General features: G+C 49.4%; 1 long non-coding RNA gene and 1 pseudogene across 3 annotated transcripts in view, besides 1 other annotated feature; one reads left to right on the top strand and one right to left on the bottom strand.

The window, feature by feature from the left end:
* LOC105378678 (uncharacterized) overlaps positions 1-5,827 on the top strand; it is a 38,609-nt gene extending 32,782 nt beyond the window's left edge. For 2 of the 3 annotated variants that reach the window (XR_007066029.1, XR_007066030.1), the window contains 2 exons: positions 1,923-2,186; positions 5,377-5,827. This is a non-coding gene — a long non-coding RNA (uncharacterized LOC105378678). The remainder of the gene's footprint in view (positions 1-1,922; positions 2,187-5,376) is intronic. The other variant, XR_007066028.1, reaches the window with a different exon arrangement.
* Positions 3,901-4,401: an enhancer, noted in NCBI's record as "H3K27ac hESC enhancer chr1:41928734-41929234 (GRCh37/hg19 assembly coordinates)". NCBI's record gives its function as "activates a minimal SCP1, AML or CMV promoter by ChIP-STARR-seq in primed H9 embryonic stem cells {active_cell/tissue: H9 hESC(primed)}" and the evidence as "EXISTENCE:reporter gene assay evidence [ECO:0000049][PMID:30033119]".
* RNA5SP45 (RNA, 5S ribosomal pseudogene 45) lies at positions 7,775-7,866 on the bottom strand (annotated as a pseudogene).

A 16,051-nucleotide genomic window follows, 5' to 3' on the forward strand; every position in this document is an offset into this window, starting at 1 on the left:
AAAAGCAAGAAAACACTTTCCCCCAGGCTCCCAGCAACTCTCCCCTTGCATCGTGGCTAGGGTCACATGCCCATTCCTGGAGCCAAGAGTGTGTCCTGCAGTGGGGCTTAGGCCTGAGTTTCTGGACCAATCACCATGGCAGATGGGGTGGGATTTCATGGCACCAGTTAGAGCTGCCCTGGAACTGAAGTTGGGGTCAACTTTCCCTGAAGCTCATTGGTGATGTGAGGATGGGCTGGATTCCAGATTAAAAACTGGGGCATATTCAAGAAGAAGGACAGGGAAATCGAAGAAGGTAGAGAATCAACATCACCTACTGTAAGAGAGAGAAAGCAGATTTCTCTGTTCCCAAAGCTTCCCTGTAGATATTCACAACAAATCTTGGAGGACAGGACATGGAGTTTTACCCTAAGCCACAGGTAGAGAGAATTTAGGAGGTGATGTAAGGGAAGTCTCTACCAGCTCAGGAGGAAGTAGGGAGTCCTTCCACCTTTCAGAGGAGCCACCAAGGAGTTGGAAAAATGAGGCAAAAGTGACGTAAAGCAGCTGCCTGAAGACCCAGTGCCCCATCCTTGCCTCTGAGCCCCAGCCAGGGGAGGGATTGTGGGAAGATAGAAAGCCCAGATGGGGGCTTCTGCCCATTTCTAGAACTCTAGAACTCTGTAGAGTGCTGTCTGGAAGGATGCTTGGCCCATGCCCACAGGAGACTAGAAAGGGCAATGTGGGGTGTGTATCCATTTCCTGAGGGCTGCCGTGATGAATGACCACAGACTTGGTGGTCTGAGACCCAGGCGTCGGCCGGGCTGTGCTCTCTTCGAAGGCTCTGGAGGACAGTCTGTTCCCTGCCTCTTCCAGCTCCCCTGGTTGTCCTGTGGCTGCATCACGACTCCAGTCTCTGCCTCCATCTTCCCATGGCCTTCTCCTCCATCTCTGAGTCATCACCTCTGTGCCAAGTCTCCCTCTGACTTTCTCTTCTAAGGGCACTTTTCATTGGATTTAGGGCTCACCTGGATAATCCAAAATGAGCTCATCTTGAGAGCCTTCATTACCTGGGCAGAGACCCTTTTTCCAAATCACATTCACAAGTTCTGAGAGTTAGGATGTGGACGTATCTTTTTGTGGCCAACATTCAACCTCCTACGGGGTATTTAGGCAGAGAGAAGACCAGAGATAGTGCCCCTAGACTAGCTTGTCTCCTGTGTGGTGTGGGAGGAATGCCCCAAGGTCCAGTGTCTTGACAATGGGGGGACACAGAAGGACACTGAGAGCTCTGGTAGGCTGCTTGTCTGTCAGGACCCTGGCAGGGTCACAATGACCCTGAAGTCCCAGCCAGATCACAGGGGATTTGCCCTTGTGGATCCCAATCAGGCCAGCTGTGCTGGAGCTCTCAGTAGTCCTTGCCCAAGTCAGAACACACCCCAGGTTCCACTTGCTGCACTGGTAACAGCAGCTAGGACAGAAACCGACAGGATGAGATGCTCCAACAGGAAGATGACTTGAGGCCTGGAGGCCCTTGCCTTGATGCTATGAAGACACCGAAGTTTCCAGCTTGCAGACCCCATCTTAGGAGGGGGACTCCTTGTGAGGGGGAAACAGCTCTGATGGGAACTGAAGTTTACATCAACTGAATCCCCCAAAGAGAATGAGTTACCTTTCATAGGTCAGTTTAAAAAAAATTTTTTTTTTTAATTTAGGGTCTCACTCTAGCACCCAGGCTGAAGTGCAGTGGTATAACCTCGGCTCACTACAGCCTCAAGCTCCCGGGCTCAAGTGATCCTCCAGCCTCAGGCCCCTGAGTAGCTGGGACTACGGATCAGACGCATGCCACTATGCCAAGCGATTCTCCTGCCTTAGCCTCCCAAGTAGCTGGGACTACAGGCACGCATCACCACACCCAGCTAATTTTTGTGTTTTTAATACAGACGGAGTTTCACCATGTTGGCCAGGATGGTCTCTGTCTCTTGACCTCGTGATCCGCCCGCCTTGGACTTCCAGAGTGCTGGGATTACAGGCATGAGCCACCACGCCCAGCCTTGTTTTTGTATATTTTGTAGAGACAGGTCTTACTATGTTGCCCAGGTTTGTCTTGGAGCTCCACTCCAAGGTGGAGCTCAAGCGATCCACCTGCCTCAGCCTCCCAAAGTGCTGGGATTACAGATGTGAGCCACCATGCCCAGCCTTCATGGGTAAGTTTTTTTTTTTCCTTTTCTTCCAAATATATAAATGGTAAGTCTTCTGCAAATAATAGGGCCTCCAGGTTTTACTTGCAAAAACAGGCCCATGCTATACACATCATTCTGCAAACTGCTGAATACACTTCATACATTACAGACATATTTCTGTGACAGTATATTTTAGAGCTACCTTATTTTTTTTTAAATCCACATATTATAATTTGTTTAACCAGACCCTTATTATCATTATTTTTTAGAGATGGGGTCTCACTCTCTTGCCCAGGCTGGAGTGCAGTGGCACAATCATAGTTTACTGCAACCTCGAACGCCTGGACTCAAGCAATCCTCCCACCTCAGCCTCCTGCATAGCTAGGACTACAGGTGTGCACCTCCACACTCAGCTAATTAAAAAAAGTTTTGTTTTTTTTTTCAAAGAGACGGGGTTTCACTGTGTTGCCCAGGTGGTCTCCAACTCCTGGGCTCAAGCCATCCTTCTGCCTCCTCCTCCCAAAATGCTGGGATTACAGGCATGAGCCGTCACATTCAGCCAAACAAACCTTTATTTGATGAACATTCAGGTTATTTGTTGAATTGGATTGAATTAACAAGTGAATCGGTTAAACAATGTGCAACAATGCCTATTTATGCTGAGGTTGTAAAAATGAAGTATTTCTTTCCCTCTCTCCTAAATCTATATAACTCTGACTTCACATTTCAGCAAGTGAAAAAGTAGTTAAATGACCCCAGAATTATTAGTCAGAAAAATGCATCGCAGCCCTCTCCACCTTCCAAAACACTCCAGAAAGTGAGGTTGAGGGTAGCTTGCCAAGACTTGGCCCTTCTGGTGTGAATGACATTCTGGACTCTTGAACATAAACTGCTGGCAGTGTTAGCTTGCTTTGCATTAGCCAATTGTTGCTTCTCAAAGAAGGGCAGCAGGATGTGGATCTTTGCCTCATTACAACATTCTAGTTGCAGTGGCCCTTTTGAAAGGAACTCCCTGCAATCTTATGTATCTCTGGGATATGAAGGTGCAGACAGGGCTTGGCTGTGTTCTCACTTACTGTTTCAATCAGCACCCTTTAGACTGCAAGTGATAGAAACTCTGATCAAACATAAACAGAGCAGGATATACACTGGCTTATGTAAACAAAAAGTCCAAGGACTTTCAGTCATGGCTGCATCTGGGTGTTTAATTGACATCATTAAAACTCTTTCTTTCCATCTCTAATTTATGCCTGCCTATTTTTGCCTTTTTTTTTTTTTCTGGGCAGATTTTCTTGTTGTGATGCAAGATGTCCACCAGTTGCTACAAACTCATCCTTACAGCTCACAATCTCGAAAGAAAAATTTCTAGAGCGCACTAGAAAAAGTCTCAGGGAAGACTCCTATTGGCCTGGCTTGGGTCATGTGTTTATCCTTAAGCCAATAACTGTGCCCGGGGATGGGTGCTCCAGTGGCCAGTCATGGCTCAAGAGTTCCCCCTGCCTGGCTGTGTGGGGAGGCTGCCCCACTGAGCCACACACATGAACAGAGCAGGATTTATGTTTGTTTGTTTTTGCTTTTTTTTTTTTTTAAGGTAGGGTTTCACTCTGTCACCCATGCTGGAGTGCAGTGGAGGGATCATAGCTCACTGCAGCCTCAATCTCCAGGGCTCAGGGGATCCTCCTGCCTCAGCCTCCCAGGTAGCTGGGACCTCAGGCCTGTACTACCATGCCCAGCTATTTTATTTTTATTTGTAGAGATGGGGGTCTCTCTATGTTGCCCAGGCTGGTCTCAAGCTCCTGGGTTCAAGTAATCCTTCTGCCTTGGCCTCCCAAAGTGTTGGGATTACAGGCATGAGCCACCACACCTGGCCCAGAGCAGGATTAATGGGGGAGGGAGACATGCCTTGTCAAAGAAACCAGGTGCCCACTGTGCCTGTCCTCCATCAGGTTCCATCAGGACCACACCTCTGTCTATGGAGAAGATGCTTGTTGTTTGGATATAGAGTTGGATATGGCTTGGCTCCAAACCCATAGCTATCCAGAGCAGTTGGACCCTGCTCAGACCTGTCTTAAGTTCTCACTTCCCAATCTCCCTCAGGCCAAAACAGTGGTGGTAGTGGGGGTGAAGGTGGCCCCTCCAAGCTCACACTCCTGGGTCCAGCTGTTCCTTGATCCTCGGCCTTCCCTGTGCCGTCTCTGCAGACAGCACAAACAGAGGCAACTTCCTAACCTGCTAGAAGACCCCAGAGGAGAAGCAAGGTCTGAATTCAGGAGGCTGAGGTTGGACACCAAGTGGCTGCTTTTTGGTGTTTTAGGATACCCTCTACCTTGGCTCAGTCCTTTATCAGGCCCAACCCTTGCGGTCAGCCCCTGACCCCCCTGAAGTCTAGGCTGTGGTCTGGCCTCTGAGGGAGAGGAGCATCTGCCACCACTTGCCCTCGGGCCTGGGAAGGGGCCAAGTTTGGATCCTCTGCTGGGGAGATATCTGTGTCTCCTGGGTGCAGGAGACCTTCTTGGATTTGGGAGTGCTTGCTGTATGAGGAGCTGAAGTGGGGACAGTCAGAGGCAGGGGGGCAGGAGGGTGTCCCAGGAAGACAACATTCTTAGGGATAGGCCAGCTTGGGCTTCTGAGCAGCTAGGTACATAGATGGGGCACCCTCTCCAGAGCTCTGCTGACCCCAACCTGGTCTCCAATCTTTCCCCTTCCCTATGTAGCTGTAGGCTGGACACCGTGCTTCCTCCATCCTGGCCTTTGTCATGTTCTTCCCCTGCTGCAGTGCCTTCAGCTGCCTGGCCCATCAATATTCACTCTTCAAAGTCTAGCTCCACTGGATAAGTCACTTCATGACAGCCAGAATCCGACGTTGAATAGTGAAGCCACCCTAGCAGTGTGCTCCTTGCAACCGCCAGGGCCTGCAGCACTGGGCCCGAGGGTGTCTGGGGAGGCTGCACTGCTGCAAGGGCCTGAGAGTTAACACCTCTCTCCCAAGATCATGTAGAGATACCTTGAAATTGACCTCAATCCATGAGCAACATGAACTGGTGCATGATAATCCAGCTCCCATACTCATGGGTCAGAGAGCTCTAAGGTGTGTGGTTTGCAGTTTCCCAGAGGCTCCCTGTGGGATTAAGCTCCAGATGGCCAAGGTGACCACTTGCTTGTTAGCACACTGGCCTCCTCCTTTTCCTTGCTTCACTTTCTCATTTCCCTCTAGGTTTCCCTAGGATCACCAGCTGTCATGGACTGATTTGTGTCTCTCCAAATTCATATGTTGAATACTTAACCTGCCATGCGATTGTGATTGGAGATAATTCCTTTAGGGAAGCAATGAAGGTTAAATGAGGTCATAGGTGGGAGCTTAATCCAATGGGACTGGGGTCCCTACAAGAAGAGGAAGACACCAGAGCTCTCTGTCTCCACACACAGAGAAAAGAGGCTGTATGAGGACACAAGAGAAGGTAATAGCTGTCTACAAACCAAGAAGAGAAGCCTCTCCAGAAAATGAACCCTGCTGGAACTTGGTCTTGGACTTTCCAGCCTCCAGAACTGGGAGAAAATAAAGTTCAAAATAAAGTTCTGTTGTGTAAGCCCCCGAGTCCATGGTATTTTGTTATGGCAGCCCTAGCAGACTAATAACACCTGCTAATTAAACTGCTTGTTCTCCACTTGTTGTCTCAGGGTCTGTTCCTAGGGAACCTGGACTCAGACAGATGCTCTGCTTAATTAGACCCCAGGGAAATGTAAATGAAAACCACGTGTGATGCCATGTCACAAGTACTAGGATAACCAGAAGGAAATCTGACCACATCGGATGCTGGTGAGGTTGGGAAGCTGTCATATTTAGCTGACGGAGGTGTGAGTCGGCAAACCACTTTGGAAAACTGTTTGTCAGTATGAAATAAAGCTAAAGCTATGTAAACTATATGGCCTAGCAACTTCGCTAATAGGTACGCCTCAGCAGAAATACATACAGACGTTCACCAAAAGACAGGTGCAAAAATATTCGAAGTAGCACTCTTTGGGGTAACTCCAAATTGGAAGCAGCCCAACTTCCATCAGCAGACTAGATCAACAAATTGTGGTATAGTCACACAATGAAACACTATACAACAATGAAAAAGGAGAAACTTCTGTTACCTGCTAGGACACAGATGAATCTCAAAAATACAGTGTTATTCAAAAGAAGCCAGATGCAAACGAGTGCACACCGGAAGACTCAATTTATGTAAAGTTCAAAAGTGTAAGAGTCATACAAAAGAGGATACAAAACATTAATGTACAGCCCAGTGAGATTCACAGGCAGAAAACACCCATGTAGCTTGCATCTAGGAAAAGAAACAGGCTACAGCCACGACTCCCAAAGCCCCTCCTGCCCTCCTTTCAGTCACTGACTCCCCAGGGGCATCACCGTCCTGACCTCTAACACCACAGATTACTTTTGCCTGTATTAAAACTGTATAGAAAGGTAATGGTAGGGTATGTGCTATTTTGTTTTGTACTTCTCATTTGAGAGATCATCTACATGGCTTTCTGCAGTTGTAGTTTAATTTATGTAGTCATTCTACTATTGCTGGGCTTTTGAGTCATTTCCATTTGGGCTACCATAAATCATGCTGCTATGAACATTCTAGTACACATTGTTCTGGTGAACATGTCTAGGCATTTCTTTTCAGTATATACCTAGAAGTGAAATAGCTGGTCCATTGTTGGCTTTGATTTCATTTTTCACCTACCCATCTTCCCATCCGCACCATTTTTGCTTTCCTGGTTCCCACTTAGGGGAATCAAGGAGGTCTCTGATTCCCCTTCCAGGTTAAAGTCAGAGGGCCTCAGTTTCCCTCTCTGGCTAGGGCATGCCTGCTTACTCCAGGTGCTGTGAGGCTCCAGGACCTTCTTGAGTGAGCAGGAACAGCTTGTAGTCTCTTTAACGCCCTGGCCCAGTTCCTGGCATACCTGAGGCCAAAGGTGTCCCAGAGCATGGCTGATAACGGCAGGTGCAGCTCCAGCTGCTCCATGGGCCAGGTGCAGGGAGACAGGCAGTGGGTGAGCCTCGGGTCAGGGCCAGGCCAGGCAGGGGAAAGGCTGGAATGGACAGGGCTTGAGCCAGGCTAGGTGGTGGCTGGGGCTGAGAGGCCCAGGGTTTCCTGGGTCGGGGCTGGATGGGTCTGGGAACTCTGTACCTACCCAAGCACGGCCTGGCTTCCTCAGTGCCTGCCTCCTCTTCTCTGGGCCTTCTTCTGTCAATTGGGAATCAGCGTTGCTTCCTTGCCTGAGTAAGGATTAAAGGAGATTGTAGATGCTTACTTGGGGTCAGCAGGGCACTGGCTGCCCATTTCACCATCAAGGAAGTTGAAGCTCAGAGAGGTTAAAGGGCTCCTCTGAGTTACACAGAATTTGAACCCAAGTCCATCCGGCTGTGATGTAAAGACTGCAGTCTTCTAACTTCCTGAGGCAGCCTTGGGGCTGACATAGTGTGATTTGAGGAGTCTAAGGAAGGTCAGTTCCCAAAGTCAAGCTGTGTCTTTCCCAGTGCTCGAGTTTCCACCATGAAAGCTTCATTCCTCTGGGTTAATGAATGCCCTCTGCCAAAAGCATATAGGGATAAGGGGCAAGATCTCTCGTCCAAGTACCAACCAGGCTGGACCCTGCTTAGCTTCCGAGAATGGACGAGATCAGGCATGTTCAGGGTGGTATGGTGGTAGATGTGGGGTAAGATCTAATGTGGCATGTACAGATGACTCTGGTGGAACTGAGGAACGTGAGCTCTTGAAGGGGTGCTGAGATCACTTCATTCACTTTCTCATCCCAACCCAGGTCCTGTACCCAGAGAAGGGCACTGAGTTGCTCATACTCACATCCAAGGTCTTACCCCAGGCAGCCTCCCTGCACTCCCTGGAAGGACCCAGGCCAAAGGCGGCTGAGCCAGAGAGGGTTGCTGAAACCCGGGATTTTTCAGGTGGAGTCTGCCCTGGACCTACAGGGCATAGGTGCCTGGGGTGCACTTCTGGAGAAAGGAGGGAAGCCTAGGTGTGGTCTCAAGCCTGAGATAAGCCCTGCCTCTCATTGGCTGCCTGGCTTATGCCCATAGCACATGCCCATAGCTCATGCCTATGCCTTCTCTCCCTTGCAGCTCCACAACCCAAACTGACACTGTGCACAGCCCGGGGCTGCAGCTGGGCTGGCCTCACGCCTGCCAGCACTCCTGGGGTTTGCCCCAGACCTCCACTGAAGTGCTTCAGACCCTAACCAAGTCCCATGTCCTCTCTGAGACAGGGGCCCTTTTGGACCAAGGTTTTCTTGGCTGCTCAGGCACACATAGTCTCTGCACCTGCTGCTCCTCTGTCTTGGGTTGGGGGTCCCTGGAAACAGACCAGAACTAGGATTTGAGGGCAAGGAGTTCATTTGAGAGGTGATTCCAGGAAGCCACGAGGGATGTGGGAAGTGAGACAGGGAAGGAAGCCAGTATAGGCAAGTTCATGAGCAGCTGGCAGGCAACCGGGGCCCTGCCCACTTGGGACCTCTGGGAGACAGGAGATGGTGCAGAGCAAGGCTCAGAGCTGTCCATTCTGGGGAGGGAAGAAGCTGGGGCATTTATCCACCAACACAGATCACTTATCCATCACCAAGGGCGGTTCCTGAGCCCACAAACTCTGACCTCTGAGAGCTTTCAGGAGTCCTTAGGGCAGAATCACAGATACCTGCTTAGTGCCAAGGGGATGTGGGTGAGGCTCCGTAAAGGAGAGGGAGAGCCTGCAGCAGAGAGAACCTGAAGAAGGCCTTGGAGAGCTTGAATCTCAGGCAGCTGCTGACTCGTCTTCTCCGAGGGTTAGTTTCTAGAAAATGGGAGTGAAATACTGCTTTCCTGCAGGTGTCAGGTAAGGATCAAAAGCGATAAGGCCTGTAAACAGCCTGGGTGCTGCCTGCACGGGAGGAGGTTGATAAATGATACTCTGTCTGCCCTCCTCCGGGGCAAGGGCCAGGCTGACTCACCTGGTCTGGGGGCACCCAATGACCTGCTGTTTGTACCAAACATTGCCGTCCACAGAGCCCTCACCCTCCCTTCTTTTCCTTCTTTATCTTTCATTAAAAAAAATCTAATAGTGACTGCTATCTAAGGCATGCCAGGCTAGAGTGGGCTGTGGAGACCCAGGAGTGCCCTGAGCCTGTCCTTACCCTCAAGAGTTCACAGTCCAATTGGGAAGTTAGACGAGTATGTGGCCAGCTGGTGACACGGGCGTGGGCTTTGACAGGTGAGTAGATGTTTATGAGGGGCAAGGAGGCAGTGAAGGCAGGGGTGGGGTGGGTAGAGATGGTTCTGGGGACAGAGGGAGGTGAGTAGAGGAAGGTGGGCAGATGGCGGAGCTTGTGTTTTGAGCTCCTGTGCAACAGAAATCCCAGATGCTGCAGGTGAGGCAGCGGCCAAGCCTGGCCCGGTTGCTACCAGAGCAGGGCTGGCCTGCGGCCTCCTGATTCCCAGCCAGGGCTTGCCTGATACATCCCTCTCCCACCCTCCCTTGAGCCACGGGAGGTGAGGATGGAGCTGGGGGCTGGGCAGCCCAGGAAACTGAGGCCAGGCTTTCTGCCCTGGCTCCTCCCTCCTCTTCCCTGCCTAACCCCTGCTTGAGCTTATCCAGCACGGTTCTCCCAGATGCCCTGGAGGTTGGGGTGGGAAATCCATGCTTTTTATTCAAATGCCATCCGAATTTTACGTCTATGATATAGACATGTTTTTTTTTTTTTAAAAGAAATAACAGTTATAATGACTTACTAATTACTAGAATAATGAATCTACATGTAAATAAAACAAGATGTTCAGAATTTATACAGTGGTGTTGTTCCTCAGGGTGAGTAGAGGTCCAGGCCAGGGGCAGATGGGGGCCGGAGGAGTTGTCCTGTCTCACAGACCCTGAGGTGTCCTCTCGGGGGCGTCCCTCACTCACCTATGCAAATGCATGCTTGTGTGTATTCACATCTGCTGAGAGTCATGGGGCAGTATTGCCATACATAGTTAGGTCCACACGTGTACTCAAACACCTCTGGATCCACGTGCTTGGGTGCATGCCCCAATGCACACCCCAATCTACACTTATATATACATCACGCATGTGCCCTTACACATACTCAGACACCCTCCCTGGTGTGTGGGTTCATGTCACTCACGTGCATCCACACACCAGCAATCATGGCCTTTCATGCACATCCCACAGGTGCGCATGCATCCTCACCCATGCACACACATCTGTGCAGCCATAATCAGGCAAAGACATGCACATTGACGACACTCACATGTACATGTCAATATGGACACACATACACATGCAATAGGAAATACACATATGTGGGTTGTGCATGTGTACCCATCACATGAGACACAAACCCACACGCCTCTAGACATGCAGAAAGATCACCAGCTGCATGTACAGGAACTCATTTTACACACAGGCCACTCCTATGCGCATGTGTGCTCACACATGAATGGCTCGTATGTGCACAAGTACAATCTCATATTAGCCAGTTGGGACACTACCGTGCAAGGTGGTAGGGAAGGAGTTTCAGATTTCAGGCCCTGAGGGGGCATGGGTGCACTTCCTTCCTTTGCCCTCTCCGCCCCTCCCCTGCCCTCATCTGCCACCTCCCAGGAGGAGCCCTCCTCTCACTCTGAGAGTAATTATTGTGTGTGGCATGTGAAGAGACTTTAGAGGGACAGATTCTGCACCTACTCCCTGGAAGGAATGTCCCCAGTCTTGCAGCTGAGGTGGGAACTTGGAACCCATAGGGGACAAGGACCTGCCTGGGTCTACACAGCAAGGCCTAGGCAGAGGTGAGACTGAATTCCAGCCTTCTGCAACAAGCCAGTTTGGACTACAGGCTGAGAGGCAACCAGGACACACCATGCTCCCTGCCTTCAAAACACCTGCAGGCTCAGATACCCTAAAGTCCCCTCATTGCACATGCTTTCAGATGAAGATGTTGTCCCCAAAAGGTCCCTGTTAAAAGGCATGTTTATTATGGGAGGTGGGGTCAGCTGACAAGGAAGACAGGCCAGTCCCTCCTCCATGCCCAAGCTGCCCTGGAGGGAAGGACTGAGAGACAGAGGGGCTGAGAGCTAACATCAGCCACAGAGGGACAGACCTGCAGCCAAGCAGATCCTAGATACCAGCGCTGGAAAGCTAGAGGGATAGAGGGATCCTCTGTACCAACTCAAGATGGAATAGGACTCCATGCCCCTCACTCCCTCCAACCAGAATCCAACCAGGTTGATCTTTTACACATCAGGATTCCATGTTAATAAATGCTTTCCTCCTTAGATCAACAAATAAGAGATTGATAAAACCCAATGCTGGAAAGGCCGAAAGGAAATGGGCATTTATCCCCAAGTGGTGGTAGGAGTGCAAACAAGAGCCCCATTTCTGGCAGGATATTTAATATGTGGTGTCCTCTGACCCAGTGATTTACCTCTAACAATCTGTCTTTTCTGGACAAAGATGTATAAACAGGTGTTTACCGCAGCATGTTTGTAAAAACAGTAAATGAAGTCCATCCAAATGGCATCAGTAGGCAAATAGTTAAAACAAACAACAGTTTGTGTGCACTGTGGACCACCATGGAGCTGTTGAAACAAACGCTGAGATGGAGCCGTATGTACTGGGCCAGAACGAGCTCTGTGGTGTGAAGAAAGCAGGTCGCAGAAGCGTAAGATTTATGTTTCCATTTATTATTTTAAAACACGTCTAAAAAGTTAGATATAAAATACATACCTGAATCCATAGAAAAGGGCTACATATTCTACTTTTGGGCTGACAAGGCAAGGAGACTTTATTTCTTTTATTTGAGACTGAGTTTCGCTCTTGTTGCTCAGGTTGGAGTGCAGTGGCACCATCTGGGCTCACTGCAACCTCTGCCTCCTGAGTTCAAGCGATTCCCCGCCTCAGCTTCCCGAGTCGCTGGGACTACAAGCTTGTGCCACCACACCTGGCTAATTTTTTTTGTATTTTTAGTAGAGACGGGGTTGCACTATGTCGGCCAGGCTGGTCTCAAGCTCCTGACTTTGTGATCAGCCTGCCTTGGCCCCCCCAAGTGCTGGGATAACAGGCGTGAGCCACCGCGCCCAGCTGAGACTTTCTTTTTAACCCAGGTATTCCTATATTCTTTGCATATTTTTAGCAGCAGCTTTTGTTCATATATTATGTCACCCTTATAATTAAATAGAAAGTATTAAGCATTCTCGTCCCATTATTTAATTGATGAAGGCCCAGAGGAGGCAGAGACCTGCCCAAGATCATGCTTTGTGTTGTGCTGACTAGGACTGCAGCTCAGACCTTAACCTCACCCAAAGATCTACCTCTGCTGCCCGGTGGCAGGGCGTTGGGGCCCAGAAAGGAGCAGCCACGGCTTCCTAGGTAGGAATTGGTGGAGGGATGAGGTCTGGGATGCAGGCCAATGATGCTCAGTGGAGGGAGCAGGCCCACCTGGGTGTGAACGGATGTCCCCTTCCTAGGAGAATCACCTGTGTGCTGAGATGGCAATTCTTTATCACTTGTCCTGACATCCTTGTCCTAGCTTAGGGTCCTGCCTGGCAGCCTCTGGCTCTGCCACTTGTAGAAATGCTGTGGAGAAGTGCCACGCTTTGCTAAGTGCCCACCGAGTGCCTCCTTTTGTGCTGACCTCCATACACTGTGTTACTTTGACTGAGGAGGCAGTATGGTACAGTGGTTAAGGCCATCATCTCCAGAGCCAGACTCCTGGGGCAAATCTCACCACTGCTACTCACTAGCTAACTGACCTTGGTGGGTTACTTAACCTCTCCAGATCTCAGTCTTTTGTCTATAGGACACTAATAGAACCTCCCATAGGGTCATTGAGGTTTCAAGTAGAAAGAACCCAGATGTCTATTAACAGATGAATGAACAAAATATGATCTGGTGCTAAGATGAAATATTATTCAGCCATAAAAAGGAATGGAGTACTGATACATGCTACAACATGGATAAACCTTGAAAGTATTGCGGTATGTGAGAGAAGACAGACACAAAAGGCCGCATCTGGTATGATTTCATTTATATGAAATGTCCAGAGTCGGTGAATTTATAGAGGTAGACGTAGATTAGTGGTTGCCTAGGGCTTGGGAGCGGGGTAGTAGGGTAAAGGGAGTGACTGCTAACGGGTAAGGGATTTCCTTTTGGGGTGGTGAAAATGTTCTGGAACGAGACAGTGGTGATCCTTGTATAACTCTGTGAAAACAATAAATCCACACGTAACGTTGTTGATAGGTTCTTGGAAATGGTGACTTTAGCGGGAAAGAAATGTAGAGTAGATCCTCGAATAATGTTTCCTTCAATGGAGTTTTGTCGTTACATTGATGAGAAAAACATTTCGCTTGATGTCACAGTCCCTTAGAACCTATCAACGATGTTAAGTGAGGATTAAAATCCACTGAATTGTGTGCCTTGAAAGGGTGAATGTTATAGTGTATAAATTATATCTCAATTTTAAAATGTAGCCAAACAATAAATAGGGAATAAATAGAAAAATTTATGTACAAGTGTACCACACAGTGTTATTTTATTGGTGGTGTAGGGGAGGAAAAAAATTGTTTTCCTGTATCCTTTTATAGACTGTGACTGGGGCTTGCAAATTAAACTGACAAAAGACTAATGAACAGGAGAAAAGGCATACAGATTTTATTTGATGTTCCTACTTTAATTGTGATGTACATGAAGGCATTGATTGCATTCATAGAAAAGAAGTGAAGACCCTTTGTTAAAATGGTATATAAGCCCCCTACCATTTTAACAAAGGATGATACATTTGTGGAGAAATGACAAGATAAAGGAAAAGGGCTTTGTGTTCCTAGGGGTGGCAAATTGTGGGAAGATAAATATGTGGGGAAATTAATGGAAGATCAGGGTGATTTCAGCAAGATTGGTTTGTGCAGACTCGTCTTCTTACTGACTTTTTGTCTTCAGTGCTAACTAACGGTTGTTCTCTTCCTGCTATAAGAGAGGGAAGGAGAAGAATCTTCCCAAAGGAAAATTTATGTCCCGCTTTTGGGCAGATGTGGGAGGGCAAAGAGCTCTTTCTACACGTGCAGTTTCTTAATTGCCTTTAGCTCAAAACAATCCTGATGCAAAAGTGGCATATTTGGGGTGGCACGTTCTGATCTTCTTCAGTGGGAAATTGGACAAACTTAAATATACACCTACAGGGTAATACATGCCCACATATGGTATTTTATGGGGCAGCTGTATCATGATGTATTATGTAGCTATGAATAAAATTTTGGTTTTGGAAATTAAAAAAAATTAAATAAAGTACTTAGGACAGTATCTGACATCTACTAAGTGCCTTTAGTGTTGGCTGTTATTAATGAACCCGAGGACAATCCTGTAACCTTGGGCTCCTCATCCCCATATGGCAGATGAGGAAACTGAGGCTCGGAGAGGCAGCATGACATGGATGTTCTGCCCCTCCTTCCGGTCTGCTGTCAGGGAAGGGCAGGGTCTTGGCATCAGGCTATTCTGGAGCCCGCCTAGGCTCTGCCACTTTCTAGTGGCAAGGTCTTGGTCCAGCACCTTCCTGCACCACTCTGAGCCTCTGCTGGCCTCAGTGTCCTGCCTGTGGAGGGAGTCATAGCGTTGCAGAAGGATTCTCTGAGCATGTGCAGACTAGCCTGAGACTCCTTGGGTAATGTTGGTACTGTGCTTCTGTGACAGGCCCCAGGCAGTGGAACTAGGACCAAATAGGTAGAGACCCCAGAGACAGGATCACTTTCCACAGCCTGCCTCGCCTGGAGGTAGTGAGCCAGACATCCCTCAGGGGGACCTGCAGGCCAGGGAAGGAAACTTCAGGAGGAGGCAATTCAAGCAGAGGCCAGGGGCATGGCCTTTCCCCATCCAGCCAGTGTCCCCAGGCCCTTTTTAAGCCAATTGTCCTTGAGAAAGACACCCCGCCTCCCCAGGGCCTCAGTTTCCCTTGCTGAACCAGTCTAGCATGGTGGTTATGATTAATACAGTCTGGGGGCCCAGATTGCCTGGGTCCACATCCCAGCTTCCCTGCTTTTGCTTTCTAACTGCATGACCCTGGGCAGGGAAATTCGCTTCTCTGAGCCTCAGTTTCCTCATCTGCAAGATGGAGATGAGAGCAACACTTATCTTACTTCTTGTAAGAAAAGTGAATGCAATGTTCTCACTAGTACTCAGTGTACTGGCAGAGTCTGGTGCTCTGACAGCCTCAAGGCCTGTTGGCTATTACAGTTACTATGACTGTTTTATTAGCTGTGAAGGGACTGGAGGACACGTGTGTGCCTGGAGGCAGGGGCTGGCCCCCCGAGTCCCCGTCCCCCAGTTCCCAGCCTGCAGTCCCCCTCGCTGCTTTCAGCACCAAGTGATCGACAGGCTGGGCCAGTGGCATCCTGGCAGGCCTGTCCTGGCAGCTGCTCCCACAAGGCGAGGCCCTGTGAGCTGCAGAGAATTAATTAGGCTGCATTCCTCTTCCAGGGCTCCTGGCGGGCCCGCACACGGCCCCCTTCTTAGCTGCCGAGGGCTTTTGGCTTGGATCCCTGGCAGGCCAAGGCGAGGCCCACACTCTGCTCTCCCCTGAGAGGGGCTGGGAGGGCCCTTGTGAGCTGGAAGCATTGGCCGGGAAGGAGCCAACAATAAACCAGCCACCCAAGGCCAGCTCCCGTCCTGGCTCTCCCTCGTTTAGCAACCTTCGCTGGCTACCTATCACTCAAGTTCAAATTCCTGGCATCGGATGCTATTCCCAGCCTGGCCCCTGCTGATCAGGCCTGCTGCCCCTCCCTGGACTCTCTCATGCCCTGGCCAGATCTGCCTTACACCATTCCCACCAAGCCCTTTCCCTCATCCCAGCCTGCACAAGCCTTGCCAGTC

This window comes from Homo sapiens, chromosome 1 (genome assembly GCF_000001405.40).
Source record: "Homo sapiens chromosome 1, GRCh38.p14 Primary Assembly".
NCBI classification, from domain to species: domain Eukaryota; kingdom Metazoa; phylum Chordata; class Mammalia; order Primates; family Hominidae; genus Homo; species Homo sapiens.